Here is a 24,240-nt window from a genome sequence, read left to right as displayed (position 1 = left end):
CTTATATGTTCCCAATTCAGTCTGACTGGAAGTATTTTACCCAGATGCAGAAGCAAGGGTTAGCACAGACACTACCCTGTAAAGTAGGGAGATAGCTGCAATGTGGTTGTCTAGGGCCATGCAGGCAAGGGAACCTAGAGACTTCTCTTGTGTCCTGATGGCTTCGGTGGTGAAATGGGCAACTCTACTAATGATACAAGAAAGATTTCTGGTTAGATATCCATTCCAAGTAGAACCTAGACTTAACCATGACCCCAGAAACTTTCCTAATCTAGCTCCTCCACTAGGGTTAATCGCTCTGGGTAAACTGCATCCTTGATAATGTCCCCAACTAGAATCTGTGGGACCATCAATGCTTAAATATCTTTGACCCTCAAATTCCGTAGATCCAACATTTGTATTATTGATGAAAGAGTCAACATCTGCAGTCAGAAGTTGGTACCTCCAACATAGATGATACTTCTAATGTCCTGTCAGATGATTCTAGTTTAATTGACATCTCATTGCTTATCGACACTGCCACATATCTTGGCACCTCAACATGTTGCAACTTTAGGCACCACAGAGCAATCACCATCATCCTCATCATCATCATGTGTGGGCTACCAGGAGAAAATAACCAGGGTTTTACAGAAGGTTAACACACGCTTGCAGGTCATTTAATGAAACCAATCCATAACTGTTTTTTAAAAAGAAAATGTTATATTGTAGATGATGTGTACTAGGTAGGTAGCCGTATGGTGGTTGTGTCTGTACTGAATATGTACAGATGTTTTTTCTTGTCATACTTCCCTAAATACAATAAAACAGTTGTCTTCATAGCATTTACAATGCATTAGGTATTATAAGTAATCTAGAGATGATTTAAAGTATACAGGATTGCCTAGTTATAGGCAAATACACTTTTCTGTAAAGCACTTGAGCAAAATTATATATTCTCAAGGGGTGCTGGAACCAATCCCCTGAGAATACCAGGAAATGACTTTATTCAAGAGAAACTGAAACTACACAGGTTTTACCACATTCTTTACATTCATAGAGTTTCCTTTTGAGTAAATTCTTTCATGTATCTAAAACACACAAGGACTAATAAATACTTATCCACACTCCTTACAGTTATAAGGTCACCAGTGTGTCATACCCTGTGCCTTCCAAAGACTGGAAGAGAAAGGAAAGGTTCCCCATATTCCTAACATCACTGTGTTTTTCTTAAATGTGACTTCTTTCATGGTTTCTAACAGTACTGGACGAATGGAAGGCTTTATCACATTTTTTACATTCATACAACTTTTCTCTGATGTGAGTCCTTTCATGTCTTTGAAGGGGACTGAGACAATAAAATACTTTCCCTCATTCTTTACTGCATAGGACTTCTCTCCAGTGTGAGTTCTTCCATGTATTTTTAAGTACTTAGAACTACTGAAGGCTTTTCCACGTTCTGCATTCATAGGGTTTCTCTCCAGTGTGAACCCCTTCATGACTATGAAAGGAACTAAAACAATCAAATGCTTTCCCACATTCCTTACATTCATAAAGTTTCTGTGAAGTGTGGGTACTTTTATGTTTATGAAAGGCACTGGGATAAGTGAATGTTTTCCCACATTCCTTACATTTATACACCTGCTCTCCAGTGTGAATTCTTTCATGTATTCGAAAGTAACTGGAATAACTAAAGGCTTTCCCACATTGCTTACATTCACAGGGTTTTTCACCAGTGTGAGTGTTTTCATGATTTCGAATAGAACTGGAATATCTAAAGGCTTTGCCACATTGTTTACATATATAGGGTTTCTCTCCAGTGTGAATTCTTGCATGTTTTCGAATGGAACTGGAACAACTGAAGGCTTTCCCACATTTATTACATTCATAGGGTTTCTCTCCAGTGTGAGTTCTTTCATGTGTAAGATATAAATGTAGATTATCAAAGGCCTTCCCACAAAACTTACATTTATAAGGTTCATCTTCACTGTGCATTACCATGTATCTTCAAAAGGTTTGAACAGAAATGAAGGTTTTTCCACATTTCTTACATGGAGTTTCTTTCCAGTGTGAGGCCTTTCATGTGTTTGAAAGGAGTGGCAATAGCTGAAGGTTTTCACACACTGCTTATGTGGCTTCTATGTTGCTGACACTCATCTGATTTGTGTCCAGTGTCAGCTCTGATGCAGCAATTAAGAGATGAATGATCCATATTGCCTTCTTCACACACACTGCTTTCACATGATTTGACTCCAGTAAAAGTCGTCTTCACTATACCATTTGGAACAAGGCTGAAGATCTCTTCACATTGACCATCTTCCTTACCTTCAGACTCTCTCTACCATATGACTTCTGTGAGAAATAAGCACAATACCAAGGGCTGGTTTATAAATGATTTTATATTCATTAGTAGGTATTTGATTTACATATTTTGCATTATGATGGAAAGTAGGTTTTCTGGCTTGTCTGAACTGTGTAAACATCAATGGACTGAATACTCTGCAAAAGGGCTGCATTACACTTATTATCAAAACATTGATATTCATAATCAATTTCTTAACACTGGCTCCAAGGCAACTATTTTGAAAACACTGGATATTTATGTCTTGTGTAAGTATATTGTTTTTGGAAAATAGTTATTTTTTTTTTTGGAGACAAGGTCTCACTCTGTCACCCAGGCTGAAGTACAGTGGCATGTTCACGATTCATCACAGCCTTGACCTCCTGGGTTCAAGCCATCCTCCCACCTTAACCTCCCTAGTAGCTGGGACCTCAGGTGCATGCCACCATGCCTGGCTAACTTTTAGATTTTTGTACAGATGGAGTTTCACCATGTTGCCCAGGCTGGTCTTGAACTCCTGGGCTCAAGCAATCTGCCTCCCTTGACCTCCCAAAGTGCTGGGATTACAGGTGTGAGCCACCATGCCCAGCCTGGAAAATTTTTTCTAAAAATGAATGAATTTGAAGCTGGGCTGCTTCATTTTCTTTGCTTGCTTTTAACATTTGTTGTCATTCTAACAATATCTTAAGGGACATAGCTCTAGGTTGTAAGTGCAAATGACCTTAGATTTCTTTTGGAATTATTGTACTGATCTTCAATGATCTGGTCTTCACATTTTATTCCTAAAATGCAGACCCATAAAAGTCATCATAAGTTATTACAAAATTATAGAAAAATTATTAGATTCTATGTTCATGGGACACTGTGGCCATGGCTGATTTATTCACCAAAGTTCAGTTGAACCTTGACCAACATGGTTTTGAACTGCACAGTTCACTCATGCACATTTTCATCAGCTCTTGCCATCTCTAAGAGAGCAAGACCAAACCCTCCTTTTTTGCTCAGGTTACTCAATATGAAGACAACCAAGGAAGAACACCTTGATAATCTACTTGCACTTACTAAAGTCAACATATCTTCTCTTCTAATTTTTTTGATAACCTTTTCAAAAGAAAAGCTTACTGTATTATAAGAATACAGTACATAACATACCAAACAGGCTTGGCATGGTGGCTCATGCCTGTAATCCCTGCACTTTGGGATGCTAGGGAGGAGGAATGCTTGAGGCCAGGAGTTCACGACCCTCCACCTTACAAAAAAATTATACAAAAATTAGCTGGGGATGGTGGCACTCGCCTCTAGACCTAGCAAGGGACCCTGTCTTAAACATATATACACATACGCACTTTTTTTTTTTTTGAGACGGAGTCTCTCTCTCTTGCCCAGGCTAGAGTGCAGTGGCGTGGTCTTGGCTCACTGCAACCTCTGCCTCCCAGGTTCAAGTGATTCTCCTCCCTTACCCTCCCAGGTAGCTGGGATTACAGGTGCATGCCACCACACCAAGCTAATTTTTGTATTTTTAGTAGAGATGGGGTTTCACCACGTTGGCCAGGCTGGTCTCAAACTCCTGACATCAAGTGATGCACCTGCCTCAGCCTTCTAAAGTGATGGGATTACAGGCGCAAGTCACCATGCCCAGCCACACACAGAGTGAGACAAGGACTCACTCTGTTGCCCAGGCTAAACTGTAGTGGTGCAATCATGGTTCACTGCAAGCTCAACCTCCCCAGTTCAAGCGAACCTACTGCCTCAACCTTCTGAATAGCTAGGAACACAGGTGTGCCACCATCCATGGCTACTTTTTTTATTTTTTATACAGACAGGGTATCACTTCATTGCTACAGCCAGTCTCAAAATCCTGAGCTCAAGCAATCCTCCCACTTCAGCCTCCCAAAGTACTGGAATTACAGGTGTGAGCCCCCACACCTGGCCATATATATGTATATAGATATATACCAAACATACAAAATGTATTAATTGACTTTCTGTTATCAATACAGCTTTGGTCAACAGCAGTCTATTAGTAGTTAACTCTTTAGGGACTCTAAATTCACAGGCACCTAACAGACTGTGTGGACGATCAGAGTCTCTAACCCCCACCTTGTTCAAGGGTCTGCTGTATTCCCTACCATGTTCCAAATCATTGAGCAATGCAGAAGACCAAGAAACACTTGTTCTATAATTGACTAAGTGAAGAAATGATGTCACCCTTACCTACAGACATCAGGTTCCTGAAGGTTTCCCACATCACATCTCTGTAGAGATTCTTCTGGGAAGGACCCAGCAAAGCCCACTCCTCCTGGGTGAAGTTCACAGCCACATCCTCAAAGGTCACTGAGTCCTGAAACATCCCACATGGCAGAGGAGGAAGGTTCAGACCAACAGCATTAGGAATCTATACTCACTTCAGAAGTTCACACGATGCTGTGGACTCCAAAAATTTATTCAATGACTTGGTCAGCCTCTTGTCTTCTGTCTACACTCACTTTCTCCATCACAGCAATTCTGATGCTAGAATTGAATATATTCAGTAAAGTGACAGCCAACAAGGACATGCCTCTCATTGGTGATTTCAGAGACTGAGATATGCTGCCTGGATCACCTCTAGTGTCTCTCTGTATAGTGGGTCAGTATTACCTCTCATGAGAAAGTCCCAAACATACTGTCTATAAGAGACAAATTAGCAGTTCTGAGACTGCATATTCTTACACGTTTATTTAGAAAGTTGAACTTTGATGGTATCTAGGGGCTAGATTTGGGAAGATCTGCACCAACATAACTAATAAATGGGGTTGTGTGTGCCTTAACTACTTATGCAAACAATATGGTATTTGCCTAATTCCCATTTTCCCTCTGAGAGTGTGGTATTTTCAGCAGAAGCAGTGTACCTAATCAGCCCTTGCTAAGTGTGAATAATTTCCCCTTCCAAAACTCATAACGAAATTTGATCCCCAATGTGTCAGTACTGAAAGCAGGGCCCTTTAAGAGGCATGAGGGCTCTGCCTCATGAATGGATTAATCCACTGACGAATTGAAGAGGTAATGAATGAATGGGTTATCCTACAAATAAGACTTGTGGCCTTGTAAGAAGAGAAAGAGACCAGAGTTAGCACAATCAGCCCCCGTGCCTAGTGATCTCCACTGCCTCAGACAGTAAAGAGCAAGAAGCTTTCACCAGATGTACCCCATTTGCCCTTGGATTTCCAAACTTTGAGAATTGTACAAAATAAGTATTTTTTATATATTAACCCAAATTCAGGGTTTTTTGTTTTTTTTTGTTTTTGGAAACAGTCTTGCTCTGTTGCACAGGCTGGAATGCAGGGGGGGCAATCTTGGCTCACTGCAGCCTCGACCTCCCAGTTCAAGTAATTCCCATGCTTCAGCCTCCCAAGTAGCTGGGATTACAGGCATGCATGACCATGCCCGGCTTTGTTTTTATATTTCAGTAGAGATGGGGTTTCACCATGTTGGCTGAGCTGGTCACAAACTCCTGGTCTCAAATGATCCACCTGCCTCAGCCTCCCAAAGTGTTGGGATTACAGGCACGAGCCACCGCGCCCAGCCAAATTTCAGGTATTCTATTACAACTAACAGAAAACAAGAGCCATGAAAAAATACTCTGGGCACAGAGTCTGTAATGCGTGACCCTGGCAGGTAACATTTCACATGTTAATCACCACCACATGTTATTTGGGTGACATAGCCCATCCTGTGTGATTACAATGAAAGAGAACATCTGTACAAGAGGTCCTGAAGGGAGTGCTAAATATGGAAAGAAAAAACCATTACCAGCCACCACAAAAGCACACTTAAATACATAGACCAGTGACACTATAAAACAACCACACAAACAAGTCTGCATAATAACCAGCTAACAACATGATAGGATCAAATCTACACATATAAATACTAACCTTGAATGTAAGCAGGCTAAATGCCCCAATTAAAAGGCACAGTGGTGACTTGGATAAAAAAGCAAGATCCAATGGTATGCTGTCTTCAAGAGACCCATCTCACATGCAATGGCACCCTTAGGCTCAAAGTAAAGGGATGGAGAAAAATCTACTCCACAAACAAAACAGAAAAAAGCAAAAGGACATGGTTTGGATTTGAATCTCCACCCAAATCTCATGTCGAATTGTAATTCCCAATATTGAAGGTGGGGCCTTGTGGGAGGTGACTGGATGGTGGTCCTTCATGAATGGTTTAGCACTATCCCTGTGGTGCTGTTCTTGAGATGGTAAGTTCTTGTGAGAACCGGTCATTTAAAAGTCTGTGGCACCTTGCCCTGCTCTCTCTTGCTCCTTCTCTGGCCGTGTGAACTGCTGCTCCCCCTTTGCCTTCCACCATGATTGTCAGTTTCCTGAGGCCTCCCTAGAAGCTGAGCAGATGCCATCCTTCCAGTACCATGCTTCCTGTGCAGTCTGCAGAATCATGGGCCAATTCAACCTCTTTTCTTTATAAATTACCCAGTCTCAGGTATTTCTTTATCATGCTGCAAGAATGGAATAATACAAGAAAATTGGTACTGAGAAGTGGCGCATTGCTATCAAGATATCTGAAAATGTGGAATTGGTTTTGGAACTTCTTAACAGGCAGAGGTTTGGAAGAGTGTGGAGGGCTCAGAAGACAACAGGAAGATGAGGGAGTTTGAGACTTTGTAGAGGCTTGCTGAATGGTTGTGACCAAAATGCTGATAGTGATATAAAGTTCAGGCTGAGGAGGTCTCAGATGGAAAGGACAATACTTATAAGTATTTATTGGGAACTGAAGCACAGGTCACTTTTGTTTTTCCTTAGCAAAGAGCTTGGCTGCAGTGTGCCTCTGCCCTAGGGATATGTGGAACTTTTTTTTTTTTAATTTCGACCAAGTCACACTGTCACCCAGGCTGGAGTGCAGTGGCACAATCTCGGCTCACTGCAGCCTCCGCCTCCTTGGTTCCAGCACTTCTCCCGCCTCAGCCTCCCGGGTAGCTGGGTTTATAGGCATGCGCCACCACACCTGGCTAATTTTTGCATTTTTCCTGGCTCGTAACTGTCACAGCCCCTGTTATAGTGCTGTGGCACTGTAGGCTTCAGAGGCAGGACTGAGAAGACAGAATTTCTCTCACTGACCTCCTGCTGTCCTTCACCTGCCCAAGGAAGGAGTCTAATCTTCCCAGCTTTTCTGATTGTGGGTCATCAGACGCTCATTTCAGAAGGGGTCCTGTCTCATACCCTGGAGGAAGGAATGCTACATAGAGAAGCCAAAAAGAATCTGAACAGACAGGGCTTGGTGGATTTTCCCATTCAGTCTATCAGTATTAGATTCTACCTTTTTTGTCCAGCTAATTTCTACATAGTTATGAATCATGCCTATCCAATGAGGTCTCAAGAAAAGGCCCCAGAGTACAGGATTCAGAAAGCTCCCAGACAGCTCAACACATGCAGGCTTATAGGAAGGTAAACAAGAACTTATCCATCAGCTGGGAGGGTGGCACACCCTAACCCCAGAGACAGAAGCTACTGTGCTCAAGACCCTTCTAGACCTCACCCTATGTATCTCTTCACCTGGATGTTTATTTGTATCCTTTAAAATATCCTTGGCTGGGTGCAGTGGCTCGTGCCTGTAATCCCAGCACTTTGGGGGGCCAAGGTGGGTGGATCACTTGAGGTCAGGAGCTCGTGACCAGCCTGGCCAACATGGTGAAGCCCCGTCTCTACTAAAAATACAAAAATTAGCCAGGCGTGGTGGTGTGCACCTATAATCCCAGCTACTCGGGAGGCCAAGGCAGGAGAATAGCTTGAATCCGGGCAGTGGAGGTTACAGCGAGCTGAGATCGCACCACTGCACTCCAGCATGGGCCACAGAGTGTGAGACTCTTGTCTCAAAAAAAAAAAATAAAAAGAAAGAAACCTGAGAGTTAGGTATGGTGGCTCACACCTGTAATCCCAGCACTTTGGGAGACCAAGATGGGAAGATCACTTGAGGCCAGGAGTTCAGCCTGGGCAACATAGAGAGACTCCATCTCTACAAAAAAAGAAATGAAAGAAGACTGTGAAGATGAGTAAGTGTTTCCCTGAGTTCTGCAAGCCACAATAGCAAGTTAAACCCAAAGAGAGCACAAGAACTCCAACTTGAAACCTGTGGGTTATAATTGGTCCAGACTTACCACTGATACCTGAATGGTAGGGAGTGGCAGGCAGGGAGGGAGGGATGTGGGGACTGAGCCATCAACCTATGGGCTCTGAAACTATCTCCAGGGTAGAGAATGTCAAAACTGAATTGGAAGAGACCCAGTTGCTGTCCACTGCAGGATACACTGCTTGCCTTTTGGTAGGGAGAAAACCCACGCTTTTGGTCACAAAAGTCTTCTGTGTTGATTGTTGTTATTGAAAGAATAGAAAAAGCCCTTTGAGTGTGTTCTTTCCACACAGAATTAGTATTTCCATAATCATTTAGTACACAAAAAATCATAATTGAGTACTTTTTTAGGTGTTGCTAAATGCTGTCCCACAGGATTTAGCATTAATCTGCCAAGTTCACATAACAGGAAACGAACTTATCCACGGTCACAAATTCTTCAACCTGAGAAGGAGAAGAACTGAGGTTATGGAACATCTTTGTAATTCACCAGTATAATCCACCACACTTTCTTTTGAAAACAACTCATTTTTTCTGTAACCAAAATGGAAGAGAGGTTTTTTTCCCTATTTCTTTTCCCTGGTAGTATTTTCATGCTAAGGCCTAGAATTCCATTTGAAATCACCCAATAGAAAAAGGAGCTGAGAAACTTACTACCCAGGCTCTGGGAAGAAAAATAAGAATTTTTATAAGGGAATACAAGACTAGACTTTTTTTTTCCTAAAACCTACCAAAACCTACCTTCTTCTGGCATGTTTGGAAATACTTTAACTTCTCCATCCATCTCTAATAATATAGTGCATTTTACAGTTATTAAAAAACTGAAGCTGCTCTCCCTCGTCTCCCACTTTCCACGGTCTCCCTCTGATGCTGAGCCTCTCCCTCGTCTCCCACTTTCCATGGTCTCCCTCTGATGCCGAGCCGAGGCTGGACTGTACTGCCGCCATCTCGGCTCACTGCAACCTCCCTGCCTCATTCTCCTGCCTCAGACTGCCGAGTGCCTGGGATTGCAGGCGTGCGCCACCACGCCTGACTGGTTTTTGTATTTTTTGGTGGAGACGGGGTTTCGCCGTGTTGGCTGGGCTGGTCTCCAGCTCCTGACCGCGAGTGATCTGCCCGCCTTGGCCTCCCGAGGTGCCGGGATTGCAGACGGAGTCTCGCTCACGCAGTGCTCAATCTTGCCCAGGCTGGAGTGCAGTGGCGTGACCTGGGCTTGCTACAACCTCCACCTCCCAGCCGCCTGCCTTGGCCTCCCAAAGTGCCGAGATTGCAGCCTCTGCCCGGCCGCCACCCCGTCTGGGAAGTGAGGAGCGTCTCTGCCTGGCCGCCCATCATCTGGGATGCGAGGAGCCCCTCTGCCCGGCTGCCCAGTCTGGGAAGTGAGGAGCGCCTCTTCCCGGCCACCATCCCATCTAGGAAGTGAGGAGTGTCTCTGCCTGGCCGCCCATGGTCTGGGATGTGAGGAGCGCCTCTGCCCTGCCGCCCAGTCTGGGAAGTGAGGAGCGCCTCTTCCCGGCGCCATCCCATCTAGGAAGTGAGGAGCGTCTCTGCCTTGCCGCCCATCGTCTGAGATGTGGGGAGCGCCTCTGCCCCACTGCCCTGTCTAGGATGTGAGGAGCGCCTCTACCCGGCCGTGACCCCGTCTGGGAACTGAGGAGTGTCTCTGCCTGAACACCACCCCGTCTGGGAGGTGACGAGCGTCTCTGCCTGGCCACCCCGTCTGAGAAGTGAGGAGCCCCTCCGCCCAGCAGCTGCCCTGTCTGGGAAAGTGAGGAGCCCCTCTGCCTGGCAGCTGCCCCGTCTGGGAAGTGAGGAGGGTCTCCGCCCGGCAGCTGCCCCGTCCGGGAGGGAGGTGGGGGGCAGCCCCCGACCAGCCAGCTGCCCTGTCCAGGAGGAAGGGAGGTGGGGGGCAGCCCCCGCCTGGCCAGCCGCCCCGTCTGGGAGGTGGGGGGGCGCCTCCGCCTGGCCTCCACCCCGTCTGGGAGGTGTACCCAACAGCTCACTGAGAACGGGCCATGATGACGATGGCAGTTTTGTCGAATAGAAAAGGGGGAAATGTGGGGAAAAGAAAGATAAGATTGTTACTGTGTCTGTGTAGATAGTAGTAGACATAGGAGACTCCATTTTGTTCTATACTAAGAAAAATTCTTCTGCCTTGGGATGCTGTTATCTATAACCTTACCCCCAACCCCGTGCTCTCTGAAACATGTGCTGTGTCCACTCAGGTTTAAATGGATTAAGGGCAGTGCAAGATGCGCTTTGTTAAACAGATGCTTCAAGGCAGCATGCTCGTTAAGAGTCATCACCACTCCCCAATCTCAAGTACCCAGGAACACAAACACTGCAGAAGGCCGCAGGATCCTCTGCCTAGGAAAACCAGAGACCCTTGTTCACAACTGTTTATCTGCCGACCTTCCCTCCACTATTGTCCTATGACCCTGCCAAATCCCCCTCTCCGAGAAACACCCAAGAATGATAAATAAATACTAAAAAAAGAAAAAAAAATTCCCCCTTCCCATACAAATATGCCTAGCTCATAAAAGCAATCCTAAAAGAAAAAAAAAAAAAAAACTGAAGCTGATGGCTGGGCATGGTGGCTCACGCCTGTAATCCCAGCACTTTGGGAGGCTGAGGTGGGCAGATCACCTGAGGTCGGGAGTTCGAGACCAGCCTGACCAACATGGTGAAACCCCATCTCTACTAAACATACAAAATTAGGTGGGCATTGTGGCACATGCCTGTAATCCCAGCTACCTGGGAGACTGAGGCAGAAGAATTACTTGAACCTGGGAGGCGGAGGTTGCGGCAAACCGAGATCGCGTCATTGCACTCCAGCCTGGGCAACAACAGTGAAACTCCGTCTCAAAAAAAAAAAAAAAAACCTGAAGCTGAAATGAGTAAACCAATTTTTTCAAGGTGATAAACCCAGGGAGGGGCAGTGCTGACCTGAAACACTCAAGTGTCTGACTCAAGTGTCAGGTCACATCATCCTATCACTTGGGACATCCCCCCACCTCCAAGCTGCTCCCTGAAGTGCTCAGTGACCACCCTCCCAGAAGACACTCAACTGTGTGCTTTTCAGGTCCTTGCAACAACTCATTGGGGGTGGTTTTCTTCTTTCACTAGACTGAGAGAATCCAGAGGACAGAAATCATTTCTTCTTTTTTTTTTTTTTTTTTTGAGACGGAGTCTTGCCCTGTCGCCCAGGCTGGAGTGCAGTGGCGCAATCTCAGCTCACTGCAACCTCCACCTCCCGGGTTCTAGCAATTCTGCCTCAGCCTCACGAGTAGCTGAGATTACAAGGGTGCACCACCACGCCCAGCTAATTTTTGGATTTTTAGTAGAGTCGGGGTTTCACCATGTTGGCCAGGCTGGTCTTGAACTCCTGACCTCAGGTGATCCACCCACCTTGGCCTCCCAAAGTGCTAGGATTACAGGACAGAAATAATTTGGTTTCCTCCATACCAGAATTTGATTGGCTGACTAGCCATGTGTCCCCAAGGAATGGAAACGGGTTGGAGAAGAAAAGGCGTGTCCCAAGGGATTAGTTTTTTACAATAATGATATAGGAGACTGGTCCCACCCCATAGCATCCAGCTGCTCCCTGGGGAGGCCTCACCGCCACACCTCAGGCTCTTTGGGAGGAACGACCTAGGGGCTGATATTCACTAGACTTTCCCAAGAGACTTGGCAGCTGTAGGCATCTTGGGCCAGCCCCAGGTAGTCCTGAAACCCAGGATCAGGAAAAGGCAGAGGGTGGGCTGAGGTCGCATCACTGTAAAGTTTCCAAAGGGGAATCTCAACCCAAGACATTCTCAGAAGGTGTCTGTGCCTAGGGCAGATAAAAAGAGACACAAAGATTGTTTACAGCGGAGTGTCAGGTGGTTTTTCTCTGAAACGTTCACAAACACAAAACAAATATTTTTAAAACGGCCATATACTGCCCTCTAAAAAAATGACGATTAAAATACTGCCTGTGTTTGAAACATAGCCTGGAGGACGAAGAAGTGATACTGTTGTGAACTAAAGGAAATCCGTGTTATAAAATGCGGAAAGGGATCAGGAAATCCCAAATTTGCTGCCAGCCTTAGGAGAAGGTAGCCTAGGGACCACAGTCGCGGATTTGAGACCCTGCTTCGCGTATATTTGGGAAACTCAGATAAAATACAAAAGCCCCTGGTGAGAAAGAGGGAACTGGGGACCCCACAGCCTACAGCTCCTCTCACACGAACCCCATACTCGAGGCAGGATTTCCCCCATGACCCTCTAGTGGCCCCCGTACAATCTGGGGAGACACGGAGGCAGCGGGCGTGACTGGGGCAGCGGGCGCGGAGCTGACCAGAGAGGGCGCTGGGCCTGGGGCCACAGTCAGTTGCACAGGGACTGGACCGGACGGCTAGGGGTCTCGGCTGCCGTCGCAGCCCCACCCTGCGGCCTGAGAGGAACCAGGGCCGAGGTGCGCCAGGGGGACTTGGGTCTCAGAACCCAGAGTCAACTACGAAGAGGCCCGGGTCCCGCCACGGTCTATTCCTGCCGGTTCCAACCAGTCCCATCCTAGTCTCGGGACCCTCAGCCCCGCACACTCACCAATTCCTGGCTTCCAGGTGTCCCAGTCCTCCCTACGGCTCCTGCTGCCAGTACGGGTCCCAGTGTGACAGAGGATGCTACAGACACGTCTGTGGGTGTCTGTCAGCTACAGAGTAGGAGCCGCATTTAGAGGGGTGAAGATGCCGCGCACCCACCTCCCTGCAGTGCGCCTGATCCACAGTTCTCACGACCCCACCCCATGGCCCTGATTGGATACGGCTCCAGGTCCCGCCCCCTGGAGACCGAGTAACAGAAGAGGCGATCTCACTGTGCTGAGTGGAGCGCGATGAACAGGTTCCAGACACAGCCCTTGGCAGGCGGGCTTCCTCCCAGTGCAGTGACCCGACTCTCCTGGGGAGAAATGTGCACTTAAGCAGAATTTCCTGACTGATTGTACTAATGGCCCTTCCTGCTTCTTTTTCCTGGACCAGCAATCACAAGTGTGTGCTAGGAATCCCAGACTCACTGTCCAGTGGCGCCATCTCCTGGCCTTGGAGCAGGAGGGGGGCTCTGTCCTCCAGGAATCAGGAATTTGGCATGAGGCTGCTGGCGACATAGTCAAGCCTTTCTCCCATCTGATGTCTCAATCTGCTTATTTTCAAGAAAATAAAAACACATCGATAACAGGATAAAACTGTTAAATTCACGGAAAAGCTGGACTTATATGACAGCAATATTCTATAAAGGAATCAATAGAGAGAAAAAGCAAAAACATGAGCTAGCTCAGAGAAGCAGTCTTTCAGACGCAGTTCAGCAGGAAAACCCCAATTTAGAGGTTAAACATATTCCCAACCATGGGTGCCAGACTGTTGAAATGGGTCCCCAGAGGCCGGGTGCGGTGGCTCACACCTGTAATCCCAGCATTTTGGGAGGCCAATGCGGATGGATCACCTGAGGTCAGGAGTTCGAGACAAACCTTGCCAATACGGTGAAACCCCGTCTCTACTAAAAATACAAAAATTAGCCAGGCATGATGGTGGGCGCCTGTAATCCCAGCTACTCAGGAGGCTGAGGCAGGAGAATCGCTTGAACCCGGGGTGGGGCGGCGGGGGGAGCGGACAGAGGTTGCAGTGAGCCAAGATTGTGCCACTTCACTCCAGCCTGGGCGAAAGAGCAAAACTCTGTCTCAAAAAAGAAAAAAGATAAGAAAAAGAAATGGGTCCCCAGAGTGTCCCTGCCTCATTACCAAGTCATGGTGATGAGGCAAGATACATAAGGATTCAGCTCTGGGAGTTCAACTTGCCCTCTTGTCCCCTCTGCAGAGTGTGGCTATGCTCCCTCCTTTAAGTGTTAATAAAAGTTTCCAATCAAAAGCCAAGAAACTAGACACTGATTTTGAAAACATAAGGAATTCCTCGTATTTTATGAAAAACAAAGCTATTAGTCATACAGAACACGAATAGTACAATGGCAGACATAATGCCTTCGTTATCGGTAATTAAATGGAATAAACTTGCCAAACAAAAGACAGAGGCAGGGAGAATGAATCTTTAAAATATGATCAAATTGTATCCTGTCTACAGCACATTCATTGTAGATCTCAATACCCAAGTCAGTTGAAAGAGAATGAAAGAAAAAGATATTCCATGCAAATAGTAATGTAAAGAGAGCAGGGGTGGCTATACAATTGTCACACAAAATAGACTAAGTCAAAAACTGTTAAAAGACACAAAGAAGAGCACTATAAAAGGCTCAAATCATACAGAATATATAACAGTTATAAATATAATTGCACTAAATAACAGAGGCCCAAAATATATGAAGCAAACATTTTAAAAATTTAAAAGGAAGGTCAGGTGTGGTGGCTCACCCCTGTAATCCCAGCACTTTGGGAGGCCGAGGTGGGTGGATCACCTGAGGTCGGGAGTTTGAGACCAACCAGACCAACGTGGAGAAACCCCGTCTCTACTAAAAATACAAAATAAATTAGCCGGGCGTGGTGGTGCATGCCTGTAATCCCAGCTACTCGGGAGGCTGAGGCAGGAGAATCACTTGAACCCGGGAGGCAGAGGTTGCCATGAGCCGAGATCACGCCATTGCACTCTAGCCTGGGCAGCAAGAACGAAACTCCATCTCAAAAACAAAAACAAAAACAGGACAGGCACAGCGGCTCATGCCTGTAATCCCAGCACTTTGGGAGGCTGAGGCGGGTGGATCATGAGGTCAGGAGTTCGAGACCAACCTGGCTAACATGGTGAAACCCCGTCTCTACTAAAAATACAAAAAATTAGCCAGGCCTGGTGGCGGGCGCCTGTAGTCCCAGCTACTCGGGAAGCTGAAGCAGGAGAATGGTGTGAACCCGGGAGGCGGAGCTTGCAGTGAGCCAAGATCGCACCACTGCACTCCAGCCTGGGTGACAGAGCAAGACTCCGTCTCAAAAAAAAGAAAAAAGAAAAAAAGAAAAGGGAAACATCCATTACTCTTTACACCAGCAATTCCACTTCTAGGTATATACCCAAAAGAAGTAAAAGCAGGGTCTTACACAGACACATGTATACCAATTTCATAGCCATCTTAATTCACAGTAGCCAAAATATTACTGTAGAAACAACTCTTCCAGTCAATGATTTAATTCAATTACTCTCAAACTAGTTTTTAAATATATTTTTAAAATCTTTACAAAAAAAGAAAAGTGTTTAGAGTAGACACACAAAGTGTGGTTTCTCCGTGCAATGAAGTATCATTCAGACAGAAAAAGCAATGAATTCCTCATACATGATACAACCCGAATGAACCTGGAAAACATTATGCTAAGTGAAATAAGCCAGACACACAAGGACAAATTTTTTGTTTTGTTTTGTTTTGAGACAGAGTCTCACTCTGTCATCCAGGCTGGAGTGCAGTGGTGTGATCTTGGCTCACTGCAATCTCTGCCTCCCAGGTTCAAGCGATTCTCCTGCCTCAGCCTCCTGAGTAGCTGGGATTACAGGTGCACACCACCATACCTGGCTAATTTTTGTATTTTTAGTAGAGACGGGGTTTCACCATGTTGGTCAGGCTGGTCTCGAACTCCTGACCTCGTGATCTGCCTGCCTCAGCCTCCCAAAGTGCTGGGATTACAGGCATAAACCACCATGCCCAGCACAAGGACAAATATTGTATCCTTCCCGTTATATGAGGTGCCTAGAATAGCCAAATTCATAGAGAAAGTAGGATAGACATTATCAGGAGCTGGGGGGAAGGGAGACTGGGGACGTGTTTAATGAGTACCCAATTTCTGTTTAGAGTGATGAGAGAATGCTAGAGATCAATAGCTGCGTTGGTTACACCACATCGTAAATTTATTTACTACAACTAAATGGCACATTTTAAAAATGATCGAAATGGCAAATTCTCTGTTAGTATATTTTACCTCCAAACAATCTAAAAACTAAAGAAAAAAACATGATTCAAGCTACTAGGCATGAAAACAACATCTGGGATAACAAATTACACTGAGTGGAATAAACAGCAAATCAGATACTGCAGAGAAGAAGACGAGTGAACCTTGTGACCTAGCAGTAGAAACTATCCCAAATGAAGCACCCAGCAAAAAAAACAACAACAACAAAAAACAGAAAATCAGTGAGCTGTGTAGTGGGAAAATTACAAGTGACATAATATGCAAATAACAAGACTCTTTGGCAGAGGAAAGAGCATGACAAAAAATATTTCAACAAATACTGGTTTCACATTTGCCAAACTGGATGAAAATTATAAACCCAGAAATCAAAAAAGTTCAACAAACCATGAGCATATATGTATATAAATCTACACCAAGCACATCATCAGTAAACTACTTCACAGCAAGAACAATTAAAATAGCTTTAAGGCAACAGGAAAAAGACACATTAACTACACTGAACCAAAGATAGGATTCATTACATACTTATTACCAGCAACAGCGCAGATCAGGAGACCATAGAACAACTACCTTAAAGTAATGAAAGAACAAGTATATCAACTGAGAATCCTATATCCAGCAAACAATATCTTTCCAAATGAAGGGAAAATAAATTATTAATTCAGCCATAGTGAAAGTGTTTGTAATCAGCATACTTGCTCCATAAGAGACATCCCTAAACTGCATGGGTGCAAAGAAAAATGAAGCCAAGTGGAAATCCGGAAAGAAAGAAGAGGACCAGAAATGATAACCACTTCAGTAAACACAAAGGGTTTTTTACTATTTTTTATTGCTTTAAAAAAAATCATTGAATCTTTTAAAAAAGAAAAAGAAAAAGAACAATGTATTATGAAGTTATAAAATTATGATGAAGGCCGGGCGTGGTGGCTCATGCCTGTAATCCCAAGCACTTTGGGAGGCCGAGGCAGGAGGATCACCTGAGGTCGGGAGTTTGAAACCAGCCTGACCAACATGGAGAAACTCCATCTCTACTAAAAACACAAAATTAGCTGGGCATGGTGGCGCATGCCTATAATCCCAGCTACTTGGGATGCTGAGACAGGAGAATCACTTGAACTCGGGAGGCGGAGGTTGCGGTGAGCCGAGATCGCGTTGTCGTTGTTGTCCAGCCTGGGCAACAAGAGTGAAACTCCATCTCAAAAAAAAAAAAAAAAAAAAGGTGAAAAGTACCTGAAATAACCAAACAAATAGCCAAATAATTCTGAAAAAAAAACAAAGAAAATTTAGCAATCCTAATCAAGACAATGTCTTTGGCAAGTAGACAAATATATCCATGGAACAGAATAAATGTTCCAGTAACATTTCTACACATGTGGTCCAGTAGTTTTTTTTAATCAAAGTGAACAATTGAGTCAAAATTTCTCTTCTCAACAAATAATGCTAAAAAATAGAATATGCATATGCAAAAAGTAAAGACTGTAGATCTGTGTCTTGCACTATATACAAACATTAACTCAAAATGGATCACAAAACTGAATGTATAATCTAAACTATAAAATGTAAAGAAAATGTGGGTGAAATTATTTGACCTTGGGTTACGTTACAATTGCATACATATGACAAAGATGCAGAATCCATTAAAAATTGAGAAATTAAACTTCATTAAAATAAAAATTTGCTTTGTGAAGGATACAGTTAAGGAATTTTTTTTTTTTTTTTTTTTGAGACAGAGTCTCGCTCTGTCACCCAGGCTGGAGTACAGTGTCATGATCTCGGCTCACTGCAACCTCCGCCTCCCAGGTTCAAGTAATTCTCCCACCACAGCCTCCCAAGTAGCTGGGAGTACAGGCACACACCATCATGCCTGGTTAATTTTTCTATTTTTAGTAGAGATGGGGTTTCACCATGTTGGCCAGGCTGGTCTCGAACTCCTGACCTCAAGTGATCTGCCCGCCTTGGCCTCCCAAAGTACTGGAATTATAGGCATAAGACTGCTAAGGATTTTTTTTTTTTTTTTTTGAGACGGAGTTTTGCTCTTGTTGCCCAGGCTGGAGTGCAATGGCGCAATCTCGGCTCACCGCAACCTCTGCCTCTCAGCTTCAAGCGATTCTCCTACCTCAGCCTCCCGAGTAGCTGGGATTACAGGCATGTGCCACCATGCCTGGCTAATTTTGTGTTTTTAGTAGAGATGGGGTTTCTCCATGTTGGTCAGGCTGGTCTCGAACTCCCGACCTCAAGTGATCTGCCCGCCTTGGCCTCCCAAAGTGCTGGGATTACAGGCATGAGCCACCACTCCCGGCCTAGAGACTGCTAAGGATTTTTAAAGAATAGCCGTAGATGGGAGAAAATACATACAAACCATAATCTGATGCAGCAATTATATCCAGAATATATAAAGAACTCTCAAAAACTAATAATCTGAAAACAATCAATGTCATTAATACTTGACCACAGAATATTTTTCAGTGACAAATAAAAACATGAAATATCATTCAACATCATCATTCATTAAGTAAACACAAACTTAAGCCACAATTTTTTTTTTTTTTGAGGTGGAGTCTCGATCTGTCACCCAGGCTGGAGTGCAGTGGCACTATCTCGGCTCACTGCAAGCTCCGCCTCCCAGGTTCACACCATTCTCCTGCCTCAGCCTCCGGAGTAGCTGGGACAACAGGCGCCCACCACCACACCTGGCTAATTGTTTGTATTTTTAGTAGAGATGGGGTTTCACCGTGTTAGCCAGGATGGTCTCGATCTCCTGACCTCGTGATCCGCCCGCCTTGGCCTCCCAAAGTGCTGGGATTACAGGCGTGAGCCACTGTGCCTGGCATTAAGCCACAATTCTAATACCACTACACATATTTGGGAGTCTAAAATTAGTAAGATTGGCTATATCAAATGTTGGTGACAATGCGAAGCAACTGGAACTCTTATGACGTTGGTGGGAATACAAAATGGAACAGCCACTTGGAAAACAGTTTGGAAGTTTCCTAAGAAGTTAAACATACACCTGTCACAACACCCAGCCATTTTATTCCTAGGTAGAATAAAATAAAATCTTCTAAAGAAATAATCAGCTGGGCACAGTGGCTCATGCCTGTAATCCCAGCACTTTAGGAGGCTGAGGTGGGCGGATCACGAGGTTCAAGAGATCAAGGCCAGCCTGGCCAACATAGTGAAACTCCACCTCTACTAAAAATACAAAAATTAGCTGGGCGTGGTGGCACGCACCTGTAGTCCCAACTACTCAGAAGGCTGAAGCAGGAGAATGGCTTGAACCTGGGAGGCGGAGGTTGCAGTGAGCCAAGATTGCGCCACTACACTTCAGCCTGGTGACAGAGCGAGGCTGTCTCAAACAAACAAAAAAGAAATATCATATGTTCTTACAAACACTGGTATGTGAATATTCATATGTTTAATTCTTAATAGCCAAAAACTGAAATTAACCCAAATATCCATCAACAGCTGGAGAAATAAATTTTGCTTCCTCTGAAGATGGAATATTATTCATGTACAATAAAGAACTATTGGATGAAGCTCAATTATGCTGAGTGAAAGATGCCTGACACAGAACAGTACAAACTGCAGGATTCCATCAGGGGTGGCTGAGAGAGAAGAAGCACTAGGGTGGGGCAAGATTACCAAGGACCAGCGGGTAATGTTTGAGTCCGATGGATGGGATCCTTATCTTGAAAAGACTGTTTCACGAATACATATTTTTATGTCATTTAGAAAAATCTCGCTTTTCTGCCCGTGGACACCGCCGAAGAAGCATCGTTAAAGTCTCTCTTCACCCTGCCGTCATGTCTAAGTCAGAGTCTCCTAAAGAGCCCGAACAGCTGAGGAAGCTCTTCATTGGAGGGTTGAGCTTTGAAACAACTGATGAGAGCCTGAGGAGCCATTTTGAGCAATGGGGAACGCTCACGGACTGTGTGGTAATGAGAGATCCAAACACCAAGCGCTCCAGGGGCTTTGGGTTTGTCACGTATGCCACTGTGGAGGAGGTGGATGCAGCTATGAATGCAAGGCCACACAAGGTGGATGGAAGAGTTGTGGAACCAAAGAGAGCTGTCTCCAGAGAAGATTCTCAAAGACCAGGTGCCCACTTAACTGTGAAAAAGATATTTGTTGGTGGCATTAAAGAAGACACTGAAGAACATCACCTAAGAGATTATTTTGAACAGTATGGAAAAATTGAAGTGATTGAAATCATGACTGACCGAGGCAGTGGCAAGAAAAGGGGCTTTGCCTTTGTAACCTTTGACGACCATGACTCCGTGGATAAGACTGTCATTCAGAAATACCATACTGTGAATGGCCACAACTGTGAAGTTAGAAAAGCCCTGTCAAAGCAAGAGATGGCTAGTGCTTCATCCAGCCAAAGAGGTCGAAGTGGTTCTGGAAACTTTGGTGGTGGTCGTGGAGGTGGTTTCGGTGGGAATGACAACTTCGGTCGTGGAGGAAACTTCAGTGGTCGTGGTGGCTTTGGTGGCAGCCATGGTGGTGGTGGATATGGTGGCAGTGGGGATGGCTATAATGGATTTGGTAATGATGGAAGCAATTTTGGAGGTGGTGGAAGCTACAATGATTTTGGCAATTACAACAATCAGTCTTCAAATTTTGGACCCATGAAGGGAGGAAATTTTGGAGGCAGAAGCTCTGGCCCCTATGGCGGTGGAGGCCAATACTTTGCAAAACCACGAAACCAAGTGGCTATGGCGGTTCCAGCAGCAGCAGTAGCTATGGCAGTGGCAGAAGATTTTAATTAGGAAACAAAGCTTAGCAGGAGAGGAGAGCCAGAGAAGTGACAGGGAAGCTACAGGTTACAATAGATTTGTGAACTCAGCCAAGCACAGTGGTGGCAGGGCCTAGCTGCTACAAAGAAGACATGTTTTAGACAAATACTCATGTGTATGGGCAAAAAACTCGAGGACTGTATTTGTGACTAATTGTATAACAGGTTATTTTAGTTTCTGTTCTGTGGAAAGTGTAAAGCATTCCAACAAAGGGTTTTAACGTAGATTTCTTTTTGCACCCCATGCTGTTGATTGCTAAATGTAATAGTCTGATCGTGATGCTGAATAAATGTCTTTTTTTTTTAAAAAAAAAAAAAGAAAGAAAAATCTCAGTACAATATACCTATTTCTTCCTGTGAGCCATGAGAATTGAAATAACGGGGATAGTGAACACCTGGGGTGGAAAGAAACTGGTGCCCCAGTAAGGGGAGTGGAGGGAGGAGTGCCCGTTGGTGCTCTTGACTGTGAGGTGGGTCTCTAGGAAGTTAACAGCTGAGGGAGAACTGTGTGGGGCTCCCTCCTGCTCTGGGTAGGGCTTACTCCAGCCCATCCCCCCATCCTCTTGTGCCCACTGATAGCCTTGCTGCAAGGGGGGCACCAGAACTTCTTAGCTTGCTCTTCCCAGGTGGTTCAGCTGTACCCAGAAGAGAAGTACCAGGAGCTGGAGTGGATAATGGGACCGGTAACCAAGCGATCAGTGGGCACAGGCTGGGATGAAAAGGAGAGAAGGGATAAGATACTACTTGGGTGGGCCAGGCACAGTGGCTCACACCTGTAATCCCAGCACTTTGAGAGGCCGAGGCAGGTGGATCACGAGGTCAGGAGATCGAGACCATCCTGGCTAACATGGTGAAACCCCGTCTCTACTAAAAATACAAAAAATTAGCCAGGCATGGTGGCGGGCGCCTATAGTCCCAGCTACTCGGGAGGCTGAGGCAGGAGAATGGCGTGAACCTGGGAGGTGGAACTTGCAGTGAGCCAAGATGGAGCCACTACACTCCAGCCTGGGCAACACAGTGAGACTCTGTCTCAAAATACAAAATAAAAAAAAAGATAGTACTTAGGTGGTGATCACCTTCCTGCCACCCAGTTTAGCTCAGTGATGCCTGGGGTAGGGAAGTCATCAGTTGCTTTGACATGATGCTGGAGACAGACATTTCTACAGAGGTAGAAGTGGGAGGTAGTAAGGAAGCCAGACCCCTTGGCCTAACAGATCCTACACCAGCTCTCCTGAGCCAGGGTTATTGACTCATCTGGAGCCTCACCAGGCTGGGCTGGTAGCAGGGACCTGAGACCCAGAGAACATCTGCATTTAGGACATGATATCCTCCAGACCCCCGGCCTGACCCTCCATGATACATCCCACCCTCCCATTCTCTAGATTTGGGATCAGACCTTCCTCATAGGCACCATCCCCCCAAACAACCCATACTTCCACGTCCTCTGTCTCCTGCCAGTGATCAAGGCAGGCATGAAGGGCAGCCTTCAGTACTGCCCTCATACACAAGATGGGAACACGCAGCTGACTGTACTGACCAACTGCTCCTAGGTGGACAGCAGCTGGAATGATAGCTTCATAGACATCACAGTGAGCAGCCCCATCCAAATCAGGTCCTCCTACCCAACTTTTACCTGTTTGCTACTCAGGTCACCCCACCTGGCCTTAAGTGAGTTTCCATTCAGATCCTTCCATCCCCAGGCACTGACCCTGGTTTTCACTTAGGTGGCTCCAGGTGGCCTGTGATCCTTCCCCACAGCAATACGGCATTCACATTCTGATTCCCTTACTGGACGTCGGGCCCTTCTTCTCTCCTAGTTGCCCACCAGGTGCACCCCACAGGATGTGGAGTGTAGACCAAGAGCCTTGGACCAACTCTTCTCAGCTGATATCCCTCCTACACCAGCGATTTCTTTTTCCAGTTTATTATCTATTTCTTGCCCTTGCCTGCCCAGAATAATTGTTTAATCCCGATCACCAGGTTGGGTCCTTGTTTTTTCCCCCAGTCCTGATCCTTTTCATCATCTGACTCTTATTTCTTCCTGGTTCCTTTGTCAGAACTTTACCCACAGGCACCTGAGGACTTTAAACTCATCTCCTGGTCTCAAGCCACTTCCAATACCCCATCCACCGACCTCCACCCCAACTTCAGTTCCCTCCATAGTGATGTCCTTTCCCAGGCTCTCACCTCCTACAGGATGGATCTTCCTCCAGGTTCACCAGTGGAGGGTTATCTCAGTATGTTTTACTCAATTCTGGACTGCCAGGGCCTGGGAAATGGGACAGGAGGGTGCTGGACCAGCTGGAACATCTTACCCAAGGCCCACCCTTTTTTGAAGCCTTAGCCCAGTCCAGTCCCTTTTTTGTGTAGCTCGAGGCTGAGTTAGCGGCTGAGTTAGGTCCACTCTCACGGACACATGACCTTGGGAGTTGCAAGTAAGGAAGGCAGAGAAAAGCAATCAGGCACGCAGAGTCCTAATTAGGGGAGAAAAAAATCAGGCTGGCGAGAGCCGCAGAAAGCAAAGAGATAAAGTAAATAAGCTACAAATCTGCCTTTCTTCATGGTCCAGGACATATAAACAAAAAGAGGCAGATAAGTTATAGGTCTGCTTTATGGCCCAGGACATATGGCCCTCCTGCTCAGATAACATACATAACTCAAACTTCCTGCTTATCAACAAACGCTTCAATTTATCAAACACCACAGCGGCCAGAAAAATGCAAATTAGCCCCCTGCTGCCTTGGCGTTATCAATCAGCCAAAGTTCCAGTCCATAAAATCCTCAGCAAGCCTGTTTCCCTGCATTCAGCTTCTCTTCTGCTGACCTGCCTGTTGCTGCCTCGCAACGAATTTTCATACTTTCTCCGATAAACCTGCCTTCCTTTACCTACAATTGTCTTGGTAAATACTTTTACCCCCGGCGCACCACTGCCCCAGATAGTCATAGCTCACCCGCGACGAGGCAAGAGGCGAGGAGGCAAAAGAGGAGTGGGTAACCTGTCTTTGCTTCCACTTTGGCAGAACTTGTTCTGTAGCTTCTTAAAACACAACCCAAACGTCGCTTCTCTGCTCG

General features: G+C 45.5%; 2 pseudogenes across 2 annotated transcripts, besides 1 other annotated feature; one reads left to right on the top strand and one right to left on the bottom strand.

Moving 5' to 3' along the window:
* Window positions 1–637: 637 nt before the first annotated feature.
* On the bottom strand, window positions 638–13,209 carry ZNF833P (zinc finger protein 833, pseudogene; annotated as a pseudogene). The gene is made up of 3 exons (NR_028594.1): window positions 13,031–13,209; window positions 4,535–4,661; window positions 638–2,331 (listed from the first exon to the last, which is right to left on the bottom strand). The product of NR_028594.1 is annotated as a zinc finger protein 833, pseudogene (transcript).
* Window positions 12,334–12,891: an enhancer, noted in NCBI's record as "H3K4me1 hESC enhancer chr19:11785131-11785688 (GRCh37/hg19 assembly coordinates)". NCBI's record gives its function as "activates a minimal SCP1, AML or CMV promoter by ChIP-STARR-seq in primed H9 embryonic stem cells {active_cell/tissue: H9 hESC(primed)}" and the evidence as "EXISTENCE:reporter gene assay evidence [ECO:0000049][PMID:30033119]".
* Window positions 13,210–20,117: 6,908 nt separating the features above from the next.
* HNRNPA1P10 (heterogeneous nuclear ribonucleoprotein A1 pseudogene 10) lies at window positions 20,118–21,471 on the top strand (annotated as a pseudogene). The gene has a single exon (NR_002944.2). The product of NR_002944.2 is annotated as a heterogeneous nuclear ribonucleoprotein A1 pseudogene 10 (transcript).
* Window positions 21,472–24,240: the final 2,769 nt, after the last annotated feature.

This window comes from Homo sapiens, chromosome 19 (assembly GCF_000001405.40).
Source record: "Homo sapiens chromosome 19, GRCh38.p14 Primary Assembly".
NCBI lineage: Eukaryota > Metazoa > Chordata > Mammalia > Primates > Hominidae > Homo > Homo sapiens.
Note: the sequence above shows the minus strand (reverse complement) of the source record. Positions and strands in the feature narration are given on the sequence as shown.